The sequence below is a fragment of the Homo sapiens genome, chromosome 17, assembly GCF_000001405.40.
Source record: "Homo sapiens chromosome 17, GRCh38.p14 Primary Assembly".
NCBI classification, from domain to species: Eukaryota; Metazoa; Chordata; class Mammalia; order Primates; family Hominidae; genus Homo; species Homo sapiens.
Window position 1 is genome coordinate 36659410 of NC_000017.11, and position 19407 is coordinate 36678816.

Consider the following 19407-nt stretch of genomic DNA (forward strand, 5'->3'; position numbering starts at 1 on the left):
AGGTCAGCCCCCTGGCCTAAGACCCCATTGCTGAGAGGTGGTGTAGCTGGGATTGGACCCTGGTTCCACTGACCCTAAAGAGATTCTTCTTCCTGCAGCCACTGTCTCTCTATTCCACTGTCTGTGCCCTGGGGGAGAAAAGGGGTCTGCCGAGGCCTGGGGGAGCCTGCTTGGAGTTGGATGGTGAAGGAGACTGGCCTTTACCGCATCGATGTGGTTTTCCTGGGACCATTCTCCTGAGGAGTGGGGGCGGGACCCTGCTTAGAGAAGGGGATGGTGGGTGAGGTAAGTGGAGGTCTAAGTTCTCAGCTGGTCTTCTAATTTCAGGGGCTCTGTGGGCCCCTCACCCCATGTTACCCCCAAACATGGGCAGAGAGAGGAGTCAAAGGCAGACGGAAGAGGGTCACTTTGTGGGCAGTGACCTGAAGGTTCCTGGGGTCTGAGGGTCCCAGAGGAGGGTGTCTGGGGCGGGAGAGAGGTCATCCTTCATGGCCTGAAGACCAGAGGAGGCTGTCAGGGGCGGGAGAGAGGTCATCCTTCATGACCTGAAGAAACCTTGGCTGGGCCAGAGAAACTAAGTAGGGGTTGCAGGCAGATGTAGAGTCTCCTTTCCCCAGAACAGGGCCCCTGCGTGGGAGCCAAACAGGCCACAGGGCCCAGGTGCCTAGCAGGCTGAGTGGTGCAGAAAGCCTGAGTTCCTCACTTCTCATAGCTGACATTTATGGAATACCTACTATATGCCCCAACTGTGCTAAGCCTTCTCTTAACGCTGACAGCTATCTTATCCAGTAGGAACTTTTATTAACCCTGTTTGACAGATGAATAAACAGAGGTGCAGGCTCCCATCAGCTGAGCCTCTCCCAGGCCCGCTTCCACCCACCTGGGTCAGGAGGGCACAGCGTTTGGGGAGGGGGCTCCAACCCTTTTAATCTCAGCACAGGGCCAGGCACCTGGAAGTCTTCAGCAGATGGAAACTCTTGTCATTATTCTTGGCCTTTAGTGTGTAGAGCTTCAGGCTGGGGCCAACTTGCCTTTCAACCCATTGTCTCCTTGCTTGGCTCTGAGAGCCAGGGATCCCATCTCCTTACCTGGGGGCCTCAGGGCACACCTCCCTCCCAGCTTCTTCGGAATCTGCCTTTCTGCCTCCATCTTGGCCCTTGATCTTGGAAAGATGCCTGTAGCGGCACATGTGTGTATGTGAACATGATCGAGGTGGAGTGGGTGACTTCAGAGATGTCTCATTCTGTGATGAAGGCCCGGCAGAGAGCAGGGAAGGGTGTCCTAGGAAACCCCTCCCAGGACAGGCTCCGATCCTAGGTCAGGGATCTCTCCAGCCTTCACAGAGTGGGGAGCTTCAGGTTCCTCACTCCCACCCTTTCTGAGCTGGGACTGTCATATGGATAGAAGTGGGATGCGAACCTCTTTCCCTTCATCTGTCTTCACAGTGGTGACAGGACTGGGGGAATATCCTCTTTCTGGGTCCTCAGCCGTCTGCTGCCCCCTTTCTTAGAATCATTGGTTCACCCAGTGCCACACTTGGCAGGGATCTCAGATTCCAGCTGTTCTGACCCCATCTTCTGATAGATAAGGAAAGGGAGGCACAGAGAAGGGGAGTGACTTGCACAAGGTCACAGTCAGTTGGTGGCCGGCCTGTTGTCTCCTGGTGATGCTGGGGGAGGCAGCCAGATGATCATCGCATAGAGCTCCCACAAGACTGTCCCTCCTCTTTCCTGGGGTGTTGTCAGCTGAAGCACTGGCCACCCCCTCCCCATCCCCACGCACCAGGCAGAATTGTCTTAATGCAGCAAATTGTTCATACACATGTAAGCAAATATCTTCTCAAATTATCTCTTATCACCAAACAGGCTGCGATGCTCACCGGCTGGAGGGCTGAGGTTGTCTTTCAATCCACTGATGATGGGGAGGGGGCAGGGAAGGGGGGGCCGGCTGACACCAAAAATAAACCGGCGGAGCGGGGATGGTTGTCGCAAGGGGCAGAGCGAAGTTGTCAGGCGGCGAGAGCTTGTGAGGCGGCAGGATGATAATGTGGCATGACACTTCTGAAATGAGCGGCCCGTTGCCATGGTGAGCAGCCAGGAGGGACCGGCTCTCCCGAGGCTGAAATAAAACACGCTTTAAATGATGTTTGATTAGAATTTAGATCATGTAACCGAATACCTCAGTCCTCCTCTTCCCCGTGCTTTTCTGCTTTTCTTCTTTTCTCCTCTATTCCCCTTTTCTTCCCTCTGTCCCCACCTCTCCCCACCCCAGGGCAGACACAGATACACTCACACAGGCACACACCCACATGCACACACATGCAAATGTGCACCCAGACACACACATGCACCTGCATAAGCGTGGGCACACACATGCAGATGTGCACCCAGACACACACATGCATGCGTAGGCACACACACGTGCACACACATGTAGATGGGCACCCACACACATGTGCGTGCGTAGGCACACACGTGCACATGCAAATGTGCACCCAGACACACATGCATACATATAGGCACACACACATGCACACATATGTAAATGTGGACCCACACACATGTGCATGCAGAGACACACACATGTACACACACGCGCAAATGTGCACCCAGACACACACATGCACATGCAGAGGCACACACACGTGCAAGTGCACACCTGCACAGACACATACACATATACACACCTACCTTTCTCCTCTCCTCACCCCAGTTGTTCCATGCCTCAGTTGGACCTTGAATCAAAAATTCCAGCTCAGAGCAGATGCTGAGGATGCCTTAGAGGGCCACAGCACTGATCCAGGGTCAAGGGCTTGAGTTTCTGTTCTTTTGCTGTGATAACAATAATATTAAAACAATACAAGGCCGGGTGCGGTGGCTCATGCCTGTAATCCCAGCACTTTGGGAGGCTGAGGTGGGTGAATCATGAGGTCAGGAGATCGAGACCATCCTGGCTAACATGGTGAAACTCCGTCTCTACTAAAAATACAAAAAAATTAGCGAGGTATGGTAGCACACACCTGTAGTCCCAGCTACTTGGGAGGCTGAGGCAGGAGAGTTGCTTGAACCCAGGAGGCGGAGGTTGCGGTGAGCCAAGATCGCGCCATTGCACTCCAGCCTGGGTGGCAGAACGAGACTCTGTCTCAAAACAAACAAACAAACAAAACAAAAAACAATGCAAATACTCCAAGTCCCTTGTTTGTGCAGCCCTTTATTCTTCATAAAGCTCTTCCAAATGTAAGTTCATATTTTGTTCTCACACACAAGAAGTGAGAACAAAATATGAACTTGCATTTGGAAGAGCTTTATGAAGCTTTTTCTCTGATCGTACCCATTTTCTAGAGGAGGAGCCTGAGGCTCAGAGAGGCCAAATGTCTTGCCCAGGATCGTGCAGCGGGCAAGACGTGAACCCGGCACTTCCAGAGTCTGCTCTTTGGGCTCTTGGGGGAAGCCCCTGTAGGAGGAAGGGAGCACAGCCAGCTCTCTGTCCCCTGGATGCTCAGACGTTTACTTGTCCAACATGTTTTGAACACTCACTTTGCCATTGGCTTTGGCCTGAGTAAACCAACCAAGGTATGGGCAGAGAGACCCTGGCTTGCATCTAGAGGGTTTTGGGACAGACATTGTGATGTTCTGGCTATATGCCCCCACTTTCTGGTGTAGTAACAGGTTTGTGTTATGTTTGTGGTGTTTTTCCAGGGCATGCTGCCCAGGTGGGGAAGACAGCCAGTCCCAGGGACGGAGGGTGCTCCCATGATTCTTTGCTTTCTTGCGTTCGTTTCTTTCTTTCTTTCTTTCTTTCTTTCTTTCTTTCTTTCTTTCTTTCTTTCTTTCTTTCTTTCTTTTCTTTCTCTTCCTTCCTTCCTTCTTTCCTTCCTTTCTTTCTTTTCTTTCTTTCTTTCTTTCTTTCTTTCTTTCTTTCTTTCTTTCTTTCTTTCTTTCTTTCTTTCTTTCTTTCCTTCTTTCTTTCAAGATAGATGGGGTCTCACTATGTTGCCCAGGCTGGTCTTGAACTCCTGGGCTCAGGTGATCCTCCTGCCTCAGCCTCCCAAAATATTGGGAGTATGGGTGTAAGCCACCGTGCCTGGCTTCTGCTGTGATCATTGAGAGTGGGTAACAGAGGGCAGGCTGGTGCTGTGCAGGCTGGGAAGCAGGGTTGCTCCCTGGAATCCCCATTGTTCGTGCCCCCCCAGAGCTTCTCTGGGGCCCTAGCGAGGTTGTCATCATCCTATTCTATGACGAAGAGACATAGCCTGTCCCGGTGTCCGTCTTCCCTAACAGACCAGTGTCTCCAGATTGTCTCTCTGTTTACCAGCCGGTCCATCCTTTCATTCATCACTTCGCCGGCACACACTTGTTCTGCACGTGCTGTGCACCTGGCTCTCACTAGTCAGACCTGGTCTCCACCTTCACAAATGTGGGGTTTGTGGGTAGGTGGCCTGGAGACATACACACACAGACACACACAGTCTCCTTCAGTGCAGAGTGAGAAGTGCTCTGATGGAGGAGGGAGCAAAGTGCTCTCGGAGTGTCAAGGATGGGCTGCTCCCTGTCTGGTGGGGATCAAGGAAGTCTTCTTGGAGAAGGTGACATTTGAAGAAAGAGTAGGAATTTCAGGTAGTCAAATAGGAAGAGGCAGCCTGGGAGGAGACACCTTGATGTGTGAGAGTCCATCCTTACCCAACAGGCTGGAAGCTCCCTGGGTCAGGGAGGAGGGTGTGTCTCTCCCATCAGACTAAGATTTGAAAGGCAGAAGCTGAGCCCCTGTGCACACCCTCCTCCCAAGACTGGGGATTCCTTGAGGGTGAGTTGATATCTCCTATTTCTCTCATCGTTTGTTCCAAATTGCAAGGCATTTGTTTCTTTGCATGTCCTGTTAGTTCTATGATAGCAGGGAACCTGCTTTATACATTGTGTCTCCCTAGTGTCTGTCACGGGACTTGTTCTATACAAAGGAGTAAATATTAGGCCGGGCGCGGTGGCTCACGCCTGTAATCCCAGCACTTTGGGAGGCTGAGGTGGGAGGATCACGAGGTCAGGAGATCGAGACCATTCTGGCTAACAAGGTGAAACCCCGTCTCTACTAAAAATACAAAAAATTAGCCGGGCGTGGTGGCGGGCACCTGTAGTCCCAGCTACTCAGGAGGCTGAGGCAAGAGAATGGCGTGAACCGGGGAAGCGGAGCTTGCAGTGAGCCGAGATCATGCCACTGCACTCCAGCCTGGGCAACAGAGCGAGACTCTGTCTCAAAAAAAAAAAAAAACCAACAAAGGAGTCAATATTTATTGAGTACTTGCTGCGTGCCTGGAATTGTGCTAAAGGCTTCGCATGTTATTAACTCTTTCAGTGCTTACAACAGCCCTTTGAGTCAGGAACCGCCACTGCCCCCATTGTACAGATGGAGAAACTGAGTCTGGGAGGTTAATTAGTTTGTCTGAGGTCACATAATTAGCAGTTGGCAGAGTCAGGACCCAGTCGTAGGTGGTTTGGCTTTGAAGCCCATGGTCTCACCCCTGAACTCTCATACACGGGCCTTGATTACCTGTGAGTTGGGTGGGCTCAGCTTCCCCACATGACTTGGAGGGGCAGCACCTCATGGCCAGCTCCAACAGCCTGGGCGCCGCTAGCTTTGGAGAAACTCCTCGGAGCTTTCAAGGCAGTAAAGAGTGAGTGTGGAGTGTGGTGAGGAGTGAGGCCACTGACAAGTACCCGGGGTCCCCAAGGGAGAGATGGGGGTGGGAGAAGCACACAGGTCTAGAGGGTTTAGCTAGAGTTGGGAAAGGACTGAGGAAGTGGGGCCACAGAAGTTGACAGAGGCAGGTGGGCAGGGGCAGTCATTGCCTAGAACCAGGTCTCCCCCTTCCCTTCCCCACCTCTGTCCCTGTCCGGTCATGGTCAACACTTGAACCCAGTCCTTCACTTCCAGCCCCACAGCCCTGCCCTCAGCTGGCCTTCAGCCCCCTCACCCGGCCTCCCACCTTCCTCCTCTGGCCACCAGTTAGCTTCCTACAGCAGATTCGATTGCTTTATTCCTGTGCTCCAAGACCTTCCATGGCTCTGCGTGACCCCCGCCAGGCAGCAGCCCAGATCTCAAGGCTGCTCTCCAGCCCCGATGTGATCTGATCCCAGCCGTCCTTTCTGGCCTTGCCTCTCAAGTCTGTTCCTGGTGTCTTTTCTCATCTGCGTGTGCCCTCTCCATGAATCCCTCACTCAACCCCCAGTCGAATGCCTACTGTGTGTGTGTGTGACTCAGCTCAAGTCTTTCCCAGCCTGGAGCACTTTCCCTGACCACTCCTTCCAGAGGCGTGTCTGTTATGTGCAGTTCAGAGTTCCAAGTTGTCAAATTATTTCAAGTTCTTTCCTCAACTCGACTGTAAGCTCCCGGAGGAGGAGATCGTGGATGGCAGCGATAAGTGTGTGTCTGTGCCTGCTAATAACAACCACCTATTCAGTACCAAAACAATTCACATCCAAGGATTCCCAGCCTTTGTGCTGCGTCTCCCTCCAAGGAAGTTTCTGTGTGTTTGGTCTGCTGTGGGCCCCAGTTGCTGGGGAGGGAGGAAAATTGAAAGAAGCCCCCAAATCTCAGATTAGTTTCCATCAGGCAAAGCAGAGTATTTCTCCCAGGTGAAAAGGATAGAAGTGGATAAAGGCAGAAGGGAGCGCGGGGAGAACCAGGCCGCTGTTGGGGCTGAGGCTGGTGAAGGTTGTGGGGAGACTGAGACACCGTGGCCATGCTGCCAGAGGGAGCAGGAGATGGAAAAATAGGACTCTAAGAAGTTGGGATTTGTTTTAGGAATGTAAATGCCCATTTACAGATGCTTTGGTCAGAACTGGAGCTGCATTTCAGTGTCCTGTGGTGATGGACTGATGTCTTCTCTGAATGCAGCACCATATAGAGACTGGCCACAGGGTGACCCAGAACTACACAGGTTATGCTGTCACTTGAGCATAACCAATGCCTGCCAGGGGAGGCCAATGCCTGCCCTGGGCCAGGAGCTACATTTACACATAGCAACCTGAACTGGATGCCACCTGAACTGATGAGAAAACTAAGCTTCAGAGAATTTAGGAACACCGAAGGGAGAGAATGAGGAGGAGGAAGAGAGGGAAAAAGGTAGATCTGGCCCTGACTCAGAACTGTAACTCTTGACCTCTAATCTGAGAGCTACATCTTAGCGTGGGGCCACCATGGCCATTGAGTGCCCTGCTGTGGGAGACGTAGTAGGCTCATTGGGCTAGAAAATGAGTATATCAGCTTAGCTATGTCCTTGGGGTCAGAGGTGACCCAGGCCAAGGTCTCTGTAGCTATTAGGAGCCAGATGACAGTTTGATTCGTTAGCCTGGGGAAGCCCTCTTGTGAAGCCTGAGATGGGAGGGAATGGGAGGGTCTGGGAGACGTGCAGCAGGGTGGGCCGGGGCCATTGGATTGCTGACCATGAGGACTTGTCACCATGGATGACCTCCATTGCTGTACCAGTGAGCCTCCTCCCGTTGGCATGGGTAGCCTTATTGGGAAGTGGGCACCTTTATTAACTAAGAATCACTTCATTTAGTGAGTGAGGGGTGGGGCTTGGCTCAGCATAATACGGTGGGAAGCAGCCCAGGCTTTCAGGTCAGGAAACCTGGGTTCTAGGCCCCATTTGGCTGCAGGGGAGTCCCTGAACGTCACTGTGTGCCTCAGTTTCTCCTTCATAAGTTGTGGATGCAAATGCCCATTCTGCTCCTCTCAGAGGATGCTGCAGACATGACAGTGATTTGAAGGGTCAAGTTCACTGTTCAAATGCAAGCTGGAGGTGAGAATGGGGTCAGTAGCTCTTTAGCGAGATGAAGCCTCTGAGGACGGGCCAGTCACAGGCTCACTGATATAGTTTGGATATTTGTCCCTGCTGAAATCTCATGTTGAAGTGCAATCCCCAGTATTGAAGATAGGGCCCTGGTAGAAGGTGTTTGGATTATGGGGGCGGATACCTAATGAATGGCTTGGGCCATCCCCTTGGTGATAAGCAAGCTCTGGATCAGTTAGTCCACGTGCGGTCTGGTCATTTAAAAGTGTGTGGCACCTCCCCCACCCCATTCTCTGGCTCGCTCCTGCTTTCACATGTGACGTGCCTGCTCCCCCTTCACCTTCTGCCATGATTGTAAGTGTCCTGAGGCCTCCCTAGAAGCTGAGCAGGTGCCAGCACCATGCTTCCTATACAGCCTGCAGAACTCTGAGCCAATTACACATCTTTTCTTTATAAATTACCCCATCTCAGGTATTTTTTTTATAGCAAATCGAGAATGGCTTAATATGCTCATGCTTGGTGTGGGCAGCCCCATCAGGGTAGATGTCATTAGTGAGATCCCCATAGCCGAAGGAAGGGGCTCAGGCAGGGCTGGAATCTGTAGAAGGATGGAGCCAGGAGACAGGATCCTAGCAGACAGGGACTGTCATGCCTGCTTTCCAGGACCCCTTGGGAAAAAGAATATTTTGCATCCCTATCTCCCGTCAATTGCCTGGGGGCCCCACAAAGAATAGTAACAGAAATAATAACAAAAGCTCACATGTATTGAGGGTTTACCACATGTCAATCTCTATTCTAAGCACTTTACCTGCATTGACTCATTTCTGCCTCACGGTAACTCCATGTAAAGGTACTATTTTTATCCCCACTTTACTGATCAGAAACCCAAGGAGTTAAGTGACCTTTCTTAAGCAGTTAAGTGACTTGTAAGTGGCAGAGTCATGACTCAGTCCCCGATGGTCCAGGGCTTGTGCTGTGTTATGCTTTCAGGAAGTAATCCTGAATCCTTTATGCTTCAGAGGGTGACTCCTTGGCTACAAAGACTCATTAGTCCCACATCCAACAGCAGGCAGGGGTCCCCACCTTCCCCACCAAACAGCAAAACTTAGACATGAATCCCAGCCCTGGCTGTTATTCGCTGCTTATGCATTCCTGGCAAGTGAGTTCATCTGTAAAATGGGTGAACAAACATTTGTTGAATACCTGTCATGTGCCATATATGTATATTTGAGACAGAGTATTGCTTTGTCGCCCAGGCTGGAGTACAGTGGCGCAATTTCGGCTCACTGCAACCTCCACCTCCTGGGTTCAAGTGATTCTCCTGCCTCAGCCTCCAGAGCGGCTGGGATTACAGGTGCCTGCCACCATGCCCAGCTAATTTTTGTATTTTTGGTAGAGACGGGGTTTCACCATGTTGGCCAGGCTGGTCTCAAACTCCTAACCTCAAGTGATCCGCCCACCTCGGCCTTCCAAAGTGGTGGTATTAAGGCGCAAGCCACTGCACCTGGCCAATGTGCCAAATTTAATTGAAGCTTCACCATAACCTTATGAGACAGGCATTATTTCCTCCATTTTACAGCCAGGGAAGTTGAGGCACAGAGGGGTTAAACAAATTACCTAAGGCCACGGTGAAACAGGCTGAAACGGAACCCAGCCTGTCTGATTCAGAGCTCAGGCTCTCCTCCTCCTTCCTCAGAGTGTGAGCCACAAAGCCTCAATTCCTGGGGTGATAATAAGTATGAAAAAGGAGGTTTCTGTGATCAACTCTGCTTAGGGAAGGCTGTTTGCAACAAAGTTAAACAGACTATTTGCTGCAGAACTTATCAGAGCCTTTATTATACTTTTGCACACTGGGTAGTCCCAAGAGCAGAGCAGAGTTAGTATGAACAAAATCTTTGCTGTGAACAAGTTAGTTGAGGAGAAAGAATCTTGGGGGAGAAGTGTTCCTTGGAGCTCACTTTGGGAAATGTACTTCATCCTGCTGCTTTTCTGACAACAACAATCATGAAGACAGCAGCAATGTTACTAACATCATAAATGGGATCATCCGCTGGTTGCAGAGGCTCATGCCTGTAATCTCAGCACTTTGGGAGGCCAAGGCAGGAGGATTGCCTAAGCCCAGGAGTTCAAGACCAGCCCAGGCAACATAGGGAGACCCTGTCTCTACAAAAAATTTAAAAATTAGCCAGGCATGGTGGTGCACACTTGTGGTCCCAACATCTCAGGATGCTGAGGTGGGAGGATTGATTGAGCCCAGGAGGTGGAGGCTGCAGTGAGCCAAGATCGCATCACAGCACTCCAGCCTGGGTGGCAGAGTGAGATCCTGTCTCAAAAAAAAAAAAAAGGGTTGGGGGGCCAGGCGCAGTGGCTCATGCCTCTAATCCCAGCACTCTGGGAGGCCGAGGCAGGCAGATCACTTGAGATCAGGAGTTCCAGACCAGCCTGGCCAATATGGCAAAACCATGTCTCTACTAAAAATACAAAAATTAGCTGAGCATGGTGGTGGGCACCTGTAATCCCAGCTACTTGGGAGGCCAAGGTGGGAGAATCACTTGAACCCAGGAGGTGGAGATTGCAGAGAGCCGAGATGGCACCACTGCACTCCAGCCTGGGCAACAAAGTGAAACTTCATCTCAAAAAAAAAAAAAAAAAAGGGATCATCACCATCATTATCATTATAAGCTTTGCCTCAATTGCAATGTTACTTTCTGCCTATGTTATTTGGGAATTTTTTCAGGACATTGCCCTCCTCATTCTCCCCCGATGTTAAGTGCCCTGATTCCTTTCTTGTGCTCAGGGCAGTTTAAGCCTTTAGGTTTCACGTTCCTTGTGCCTGGATCACCTCTGTTCTCTGCTCCAACCTTTTGCCTGGGCTGTCCTTCTCAGGTTGTCCTCCCTTTCTCCCCTTCCCAGCCTTGTTCTTGGAGGAAAGTGAGAGAGGATTGGAGGGGAAGCGATTTGGCCAGGGGCATGTGGTATGCCCTGCCCCAGCCTCTCCTGCCTCCTTTCCCACAGGGCTTGGCTCTATAGACCTCCCTTCTGAGAAACCCTCTCTGATGGCCTCATCCCAGGGCAACCACTTAGCTACTCGGGGCCTCTCTTGGTCTTTTGATACCTAGTCTATATTATATACTGTGCAAAGGGTTGGGTTTTTTTTTTGGTGTACTATATTTATTTTTTAAAACACAGCTTTATTGAGGTATAGTTTGTGTACCATAAAATTCACCCATTATATTTATATGAAAACTGTTTATTATAATCAATATTTTACATAAAGAAAAGAGCATGAGTGAGTACACACAGAGGGATGAATTTTTACAAAATAAAAATATCTGTGTTATTAGCACCTGTCTCAGAAACATGACACCTTCAGAGAGATTTATTAAAAACATACAAACCAATCCACAAGACTTTCCCTTTCCTCCCTCCGTCCTGCCCTGCTCTTTCTCATTCCTTCCTTCCTCCCTCCCTTCCTTCCTCTTTCCTTCCCTCTTTTTTTTTTTTGAAACAGAGTCTTACTCTGTCACCCATACTGGAGTACAGTGGCATGATCTTGGCTCACTGCAACCTCCATCTCTCAGGTTCAAGCAATTCTCCTGCCTCAGCCTCCTGAGTAGCTGGGATTACAGGTGCACCACCAAGCCTGGCTACCTCTTTCCTTCCCTCTCTCCCTTCCTCTTTCCTCTGACAAGGTACCCAGGCAGAGCCTTGAGCTGTAAAGGGTCAGATGTTGAGTGTGGGCAGTGCCCAGGCCTCCTGAAGCACAGATCATTCCTTCTCCCTCCCTCCTTCCCTTCCCTTCCTTCCTTCCTTCCTCTAACCCCTTTATGTCTCCCTTCTTTCCTATTGGCTCTCATTCCAAATACCATCTGGGGTTTATAGTGAGAGGCACAGCCAGAGTAAATGTAAATGCCTGCCAAACAGTGCCCTAGAAGGCAAGGAGCGATGGGGTCAGGAGCTGAAAGACCCAAGTCCTGGCTTGGCCGCTGCCAGTTTCAAGGCCTGAGGCTTGTGACCACACCTCCCTGTGCCTCAGTTTTCTCTTCTGTGAATGAGAATTATGACATGACTGACTTCAAAGGGTGCTGAGAAGATGAAATAAGGTATTTTGCCCTTATGCCTGCCACGTGGTTACCATGTGCTTGCATGCAGGAAGCTCTCAGTGGCACCTGGCAGACAATTGCATTTCTTACTAAGATGAGACACAGATGGTGAGAATCATTGCCATTTATTGAGCACATACTACCTGTGAGGGCTTTACCTCTCATCTGCACAACCATCCTGCAAGGAGAGGGTATTATCTCCAGTTTACAGATGAAGAACTGCAAGTCCTGAAGACGTAGGTTGCTAAGGGTTGGAGCTGGAGCTTGAACCCAAGGAGTCTGGCTCGAGTGCCCATGCCCTAATCACTGGGCAAGCCTTACATCAATTTCTCCTGGACCCTTTGAGGTCTGGCTGTAGCTGTGAGCCAAGTATGGTTCTCTCCCAACTGCTAGGACAGGACCAGGCCAACCACAGGGCCACCCCTTGGCATGCTGAGAAATCGCCTAGGGGCAGGGATGGGGTTTTGGGAAGGGGATGAGGTACCCAGGCAGAGCCTTGACCTGTAAAGGGTCAGATATCGAGTGTGGGCAGTGCCCTGGCCTTCTGAAGCACAGATCTGCAGCTCCAGGGAGAATCTGGGACTCTGGTGCAGGGCGCCGTGGAGGCAGGAGTATGGCCCTGTGGGGTGGTCATAGCCCACAGCCCTGGAGCATCAGAGAAGAGCAGCCTGCCCCCTGCAGATCCTCCTCATCCTGCAGGCCAGTGTCACCGGAATGGAGGGTGTGGAGCAGGCCTGGCAGGACATGGCTGGGCATGGGGGTGGTGGTGACGCCTCTTCAGCTGGGGCAGGACTGAGGCAGAGTGACCTGCCCACCACCCATGCCAAGTGCTCAGGAAATCCTGGGGCAAGGCCTGGAGATTCCCACTGGTGGGGTCTGGTGGGGAATATTGGGGGCATCCCCAGTCTGGTGCCTCAGCCAGCCCCTCACTTCTTGGTGGGGTTCTGCAGGAGCACGGACGTCACCTGCCCTTTTGCTGGCCTTGACCATCCCTGCCCTGACCTCCAGGCTCCCTGGGGCCAGTCCAGACATCTGTATCCATCTTGCCCCAAACTCTGGAGATTCTGACAAATTTCCTTTCATTGCTTCCAGCCGTGTTATTTAAAGTAATTAACCTTAATTTATAAATTTTTATATCAAACTGCCTTTTAACTTTTAGAACTGGCAGGAACAGCCTTATCCCTGGGCTCCTAATAGTTCTCCATTTAATCAAAATTCATCCATCAGGTTCCAGTGTTAAATCATCTTTTAATTGGGAGTTACATTCTGGTTAATAGTTTTATAATTCGCCTCCTCTAATAGTTTTTACCACAGGGATCTCGACTCCATTTTTCCTGACTCTATTATTGCTGGCATGCGATTCTGCGGGGATGGCTTAACGCGGCCCTGCCTCTCTGGCCTCTGCTGGTCGCCTCTTTTGTTCTTGGTGGTCTCATTAATTCCTGAGAAGAGTTATCCTTCCTCCTCATTACTAGGGCAGAGCTGCTGTCCTCTTGAGGGGCAGCCTTCTGATTTCTGCAGCCTTAGGAGCTCTGGCCAGGAGATCTCCAAGAGAAAGCTGGAGCCAAAGAAAGGGACAGATGGAGACAGAGACAGAAAGACAGAGAGAAACAGAGAGAGAGGGAATATGGAGAGGAAGGAGCACGTGGGAAGCCGGCAGGCCAGGACCCTAGAGAGAGACAGAGGCGTCTGGGAGTGGACTGGCTCCTCTCCCGGCTCCTGCCACTGCCCCTCAGCTCCTGACTTCCTGGGAGTGGGGGGCCTTGGGTGAGGCAGGTGATATAGGAGGAAGGTGGCCCTACCTGAGACCCCAGGGTGGCCTGGAGGAGTGGCTGGGGCTGGAGGACAAGCAGAGTGGGCCTGGAAAGTCCTTGGAGGTCAGCAGGCAGGGAGGTCCCAGTCCACTCCCTGGTCACTCTGAGTTGCTCCTGTGCATGTTACAGCATCAGGATCATCACAGATGAGCCGGGGAGCCTCCTGGCGGCCAAGAGGATGAGGGTGTGAGATCCCAAGATCAGAAAGGAGAGACCTGCGGGAGACAGAGAAAGGGAAAAGTCAAGAGTGAGAAAAGAAAGGAGAGGGAAGAGAAGGAGGGGGAGAGAAAGGGAAAGAAAGGAAGAGGCCAGGTGTGGTGGCTCACGCCTGCAATCCCAGCACTTTGGGAGGCCGAGGCAGGCAGATGACTTGAGGTCAGGAGTTCAAGACCAGCCTGGCCAACATGGTGAAACCTTGTCTCTACTAAAAATGCAAAAATTAGCCAGGTAGGGTGGCGCATACCTGTAATCTCAGCTACTTGGGAGACTGAGGCAGGAGGTGGACTTGACCCTGGGAGGTGGAGGTTGCAGTGAGCTGAGATCGCACCACTGCACTCCAGCCTGGACGACAGAGTGAGACTCCATCTCAAAAAAAAAAAAAAAAAAGGAAGGAAGAGAAGAAGACAGAGGAGGGGTGAGGAGAAGAGAGGATGTGGTCACCTTGTCAGGGAGTCCTGGCCTGTGAGGAGATGGGCCTGTGTGGGTACATGCATATACACGTGTGCATACATGGGCACTCACACAAACCCACACATGCGCACAGGCCTGAAACCAGTCCTAGGAACAGCTAGTGCAGGGGTGTTGCTGGGCTGGGACATGGCCTGGAGCCTGGGGGTGGGGGTCTCTGAGAAGGTCTCCAGGAGATGTGAGCTGCGAGGGGTCAGGGAAGGGCCAGGGAAGGATGGAAGCTGGGCTGAGGCCACTGAAGTGAGCTTCCCTGGGGATGGAGGGCCTGGGTGGCTGGCGTACCTTGAAGTCATGTCTTGCTGAATCTGTAGTCTCCACCTCTGATTGGTGACTTTGCAAGACAGTAGGTCTCAGCCCTGGCTGCACGCTGGAGTCACCTGTGGGTGTTTAAAAATCCCAGTGCCCTGGCCTCACCTCACATGCTGTGATGGTTTTAAAGTAGATCCACAAATCCTTTGAGCCTCCTCCCTTCTGAAGATGGAGTCTAATTCTCTTCCCCTAGAGTGTGGGCTCCTTCTAAAACACAAACACAGCGGAAGTGGTGTGATTTAGGAGGTTAGGGCAGGGAAGGTACTGAGGCTTCCTCTCTGCACTGCTTTGGATCTCTTGCTCAGAAGGCAGCCAACTGACGGGTCATGAAAACACTCAAGCAGCCCTGTGCAGAGGCCCATGTGGCCAGGAAATGAAGCCTTTTGCTGGTGGCATTGAGTCATCTTGAAGCAGGTGCTCCAGCCTGGGCTGACGTCTGAACTCCAACCTCAGGAGAGATCCTGAGTCAGGACCACCTGGCTCAGCTGCTCCTGGATTTCTGACCTCAGAAACCACGTAAGCTCCTAAATGACCATCAACCAATAAGTGGATAAAGAAAATGTGAGATATATATATATATATATATATATACACACACACACACACACACCATGGAATACTACTCAGCCATAAAAAGGAAAGAAATAATGGCATTCGCAGCAACTTGGATGGAATTGGAGACCACTCTTCTAAGTGAAGTAACTCAGGAGTGGAAAACCCAAACATCGTATGTCCTCACTTATAAGTGGGAGCTAAGCTATGAGGACACAAAGGCATAAGAATGAAACAGTGGACTCTGGGGACTCAGGGAAAGGGCGGGAGTGATGAGGGATAGAAGACTACACACTGGGTGCGGTGTACACTGCTCGGGGTATGGATCCACCGAAATCTCCGAAATCACCACTAAAGAAATTATCCATGGAACCAAACACCACCTGTTCTGCCAAAACTATTGAAATAATTTAAAAAACAAAAGAAAAAAAAGAAACCGTGTGAGCTAATGTTTGTTGTTCTTTTAAGGTGCTAAATTTTGGGGGGTTATTTGGTATGCAGCAATAGGTAACTGACCCACATTCATTCCATCAGCATCCCAGGGGGTGGGGCTGGACACAGGTGTGTTTTAAAGCTCCACAGTAGTCTAGTGTGCACCCAGGTTGAGAACTGCTGCCCTAATGCCTGTGTGTGCATGACAGTGTGTGCCTGTGTACAGGCCACATGCGTGTGTATTGATGGAGGCGCCGTGTTCCACTTTTGTGTAACATTTGCCAGGGCACATTTGCCAGGGCACATAAGTACAAGCCCCGCCCACCTTGTGTGTTCCTCTCGGAGTGCATCAGTCCCTCTGTCCCAGGTACTTGTGTCAGGGTGTGGCTCAAGAAGGACTGGGGCATGGAAGGAGCCTTGGAGGTTTTGTGGCCAGAGTCACATGGGCTGTTCACCACTTCCTCTCTGTGTGCCCTCTCTGAGCCATAAAGCTCCCATATGGGGACCTGCAGATCAGCACTCTTCCCGAGACTTCAAGGAGGCAGTATTGGAGCTGGTGGATGCCTCCTGGGCTGGTTTTGGCAAAGTTTTGGTAGCCCTGTCACTTTTGTTATAATGGCTCTTGGCGTAATGCAATTTGACCTGCAGCTGTGCATACAGGAGAGCAATCAAATGTGTGGTTTCCTCTGCAGGACCTGACCTGAAGGAGGGTCTGCACTGGGTGGAGGGCAATTTTAGTCATGGCTGTATTAGGGTTTACGATTTAAGGCCAGTTGTCTTGGCCTCTGAAATGCCAGCTGGCTCAGATTGGCAGGATGAGGAGCTGGTCTTCCACACTGGAGAGTAAAGATGTTGATTCTGAAGCAGGAAGCACAAGAACTTTCTACTTTCGCTGAGGCAGGCTGGTGGCTCCAGCTGAGCCCAGACTCCTCCCAGCTGTGTGTCCTGGGCTGAGCCTCTTATTTTTGCTAGGCCTCAGCTTTCTCATCTATAAAGTGGAGGAGCAAATGATCTACCACCTCTTGCATGTGACATACTGTGTCTCCCCACCACAGCCCCTGTCAGGCTGCTGGGTAGCCTAGGAGAGGGACCCTCTGACCCTCAAACACAGCCCAATCCTCAAGGCTGTGCCTTCCGTTCCATTGGAACCAACTTCACCCTCAGTTACCCCCACTGAGGCCTCCGGGGAAGGTGGGAAGAAAAGAAAGGGTCACCACACACCTGCCTTTGCCCTCCCTAGCAGGGAGAAATCAGGGAGGATGTAGGGTGGAGGAGGAGCTTGATGCCCAAAGATGCTTGGGTTTGGAGTTTCTTGGTGGGTGAAATACAATGGGAAGAGAAGGAGAAGGAGGTAGAGGAGGAGGAGGAGGAGGGAGAGGAGAAGGCAGAGAGCAGCATTGGTTGCGATCCTGCCATGTGCTCCAGGAGCACTCTGCTCAGACCTTCCAGCCCATTGTGACGTCTGAGTTTCATGACAATAAGGATGATTGGTGCCATTTTACAGAGCAGGAAACTGAGGCTCAGGAAGGTGAAGGAATCTCCTTGCTCAGTGTCACATGGGCTAAGGAATGCAGATGGAACCAGGGTGGGAGCTCCGGCCCAGTGACTACAAAGCCTGGGCATTACTGTGGGGACTCGAGGGCAGGGAGAGGTCCAGTCCTTGCACCAGGCACCTTCTCCCAGTGGGGCCACTGGCCCCATTTCTTAGAGGCTGTACTAGGTTAGGGGTGGATGACAAGAATGATGGTGGAAGTGAGAGGTGCCCAGGACTGCCCCTGAAGCGAAAGGATTTAGGTTAGACTGTGGGAAGCATGCGGGTTCTGAAAGCCCAGGGTGGCAGGACACAGGGAGCCCGTGCTGCCTTCTTCCCTGGGACACTCAGGAGCTGGTCAGGAGCTGAGGCTCCCTTCACACCTGGTAGGCCTGAGCCTGAGAAGAGTTGAGGGTTGGCCCTTCAGCGAGGCAGGGGGATTGGCAGGTTGACCAATGCAGGGAACCACCAGCCTGTGTTTGGATGGACAGACTACCTCTGATTCTGCTGGTGCAGTTAGAGATCAAGTTCACAGGCTTCAGATATCAGAGCTTATAGTTCAGGCCCCGTCACTTGTGAACAGAGTGACTTTGGACAAGCCCCTTAACGCCCTGTGCCTCAGTTTCCTTATCTGTAAAATGAGGGTGAGGAAAAAGCTGTTTCATAGCCAGTGAGCATGCTAAATGAGATAAGCGCTTTATAGTATTTAGCCAAGCCCCGGGCATAGGGACTCACACAGTAAGTGGTGACTGCTATCATGAACTGTCTGGGAAGGCAGGAGGGGGCAGCTTGCTCCAGAGCCTGGAGTCCCAACCGGGTGGCACTGGGTGGTCTGGCATTAGTTTTGTTACCAGAAAGTGGTCTCAATCCAGACCCCGAGAGGGTTCTTGGATCTCACACAAGAAAGAATTTAGGGGGAGTCCATAAAGTGAAAGCAAGTTTATTAAGGAAGTAAAGGAATAAAAGAATGGCTACTCCAGGCCGGGCGCAGTGGCTCACGCCTGTAATCCCAGCACTTTGGGAGGCCAGGGCGGGCGGATCACCTGAGGTTGGGAGTTCAAGACCAGCCTGACCAATGTGGAGAAACCCCGTCTCTACTAAAAATGCAAAATTAGCCGGGCATGGTGGCGCATGCCTGTAATCCCATCTACTTGGGAGGCTGAGGCAGGAGAATAGCTTGAACCCAGGAGGCAGAGGTTGCGGTGAGCCAAGATCATGCCATTGCATTCCAGCCTGGGCAGCAGAGCAAAACTCCATCTCAAAAAAAAAAAAAAAAAATGGCTACTCCATAGACAGGGCAGCCCCAAGGGCTGCTGGTTGCCCATTTTTATGGTTATTTCTTGATGATATGCTAAACGAGGGGTGGATTATTCATGCCTCCCCCTTTTAGACCATATAGGGTAACTTCCTGATGTTGCCATGGCATTTGTAAACTGTCGTGGCGCTGCTAGGAGTGTAGGAGTAAGGACGACCAGAGATCATTCTTGTTGCCATCTTGGTTTTGGTGGGTTTGGGCCAGCTCCTTTACTGCAACCTGTTTTATCAGCAAGGTCTTTATGACCTGTATCTTGTAGCAACCTCTTGTCTTATCCTGTGACTTAGAATGCCTTAACCATCTGGGAATGCAGCCCTGTAGGTCTCAGCCTCCTTTTACCCACCTCCTATTCAAGATGGAATTGCTCTGGTTCACATGCCTCTGACATTTCTGACTCACCCTTTCTGGGAGACCTTGAAAAAAATTCACCAAACCTCTCTAGGTGTCAGTTTCTTTAATTGCCAGATGGAGACCCAAGTCCCTGTTCTTCTCTGGGGACCCAGAAATGATCGGTGTCTACAAATGTGTTTGCAGATGTTCTTGGCCTGAGCAGATAGAGTCCACCCTTCACTATTCAGTTGGGTTACCTCATGGGTCCCCCATAATAAACCTGTTCCCCACCCACACCCATAATAAACTGAAAAAACATTTATTTATTTATGGTTTTGAGACAGAGTCTCACTCTGTTGCCCTGGCTGGAGTGCAGTGGTGCTATCTTGGCTCACTGCAACCTCTGCCTCCTGGGTTCAAGCAATTCTCCTGTCTCAGCCTCCAGAGTAGCTGGGATTACAGGCATGTACCAACATGCCTGGCTAATTTTTGTATTTTTAGTAGAGACGGGGTTTCACCATATTGGTCAGGCTGGTCTCGAACTCCTG

At 51.2% G+C, this 19407-nt stretch overlaps 2 long non-coding RNA genes across 3 annotated transcripts in view, besides 4 other annotated features; one reads left to right on the forward strand and one right to left on the reverse strand.

Moving 5' to 3' along the window:
* Positions 1-19407, forward strand: part of LOC105371750 (uncharacterized) — a 115553-nt gene that overhangs the window by 1516 nt on the left and 94630 nt on the right. The window lies entirely within an intron of this gene.
* Positions 2944-3149: a silencer, noted in NCBI's record as "fragment chr17:35018784-35018989 (GRCh37/hg19 assembly coordinates)". NCBI's record gives its function as "represses an EF-1alpha promoter that drives an FKBP-Casp9 reporter gene in an ReSE screen in HepG2 liver carcinoma cells {active_cell/tissue: HepG2}" and the evidence as "EXISTENCE:reporter gene assay evidence [ECO:0000049][PMID:32094911]".
* Positions 5777-5951: a silencer, noted in NCBI's record as "fragment chr17:35021622-35021796 (GRCh37/hg19 assembly coordinates)". NCBI's record gives its function as "represses an EF-1alpha promoter that drives an FKBP-Casp9 reporter gene in an ReSE screen in K562 erythroleukemia cells {active_cell/tissue: K562}" and the evidence as "EXISTENCE:reporter gene assay evidence [ECO:0000049][PMID:32094911]".
* Positions 5777-6393: a biological region, named in NCBI's record as "H3K4me1 hESC enhancer GRCh37_chr17:35021739-35022238".
* Positions 5894-6393: an enhancer, noted in NCBI's record as "H3K4me1 hESC enhancer chr17:35021739-35022238 (GRCh37/hg19 assembly coordinates)". NCBI's record gives its function as "activates a minimal SCP1, AML or CMV promoter by ChIP-STARR-seq in naive and primed H9 embryonic stem cells {active_cell/tissue: H9 hESC(naive and primed)}" and the evidence as "EXISTENCE:reporter gene assay evidence [ECO:0000049][PMID:30033119]".
* On the reverse strand, positions 13229-14752 carry LOC105371751 (uncharacterized). Its single transcript, XR_001752873.2, has 3 exons — positions 14673-14752; positions 13692-13918; positions 13229-13558 (listed from the first exon to the last, which is right to left on the reverse strand). It is a non-coding gene; the product is annotated as an uncharacterized LOC105371751 (long non-coding RNA).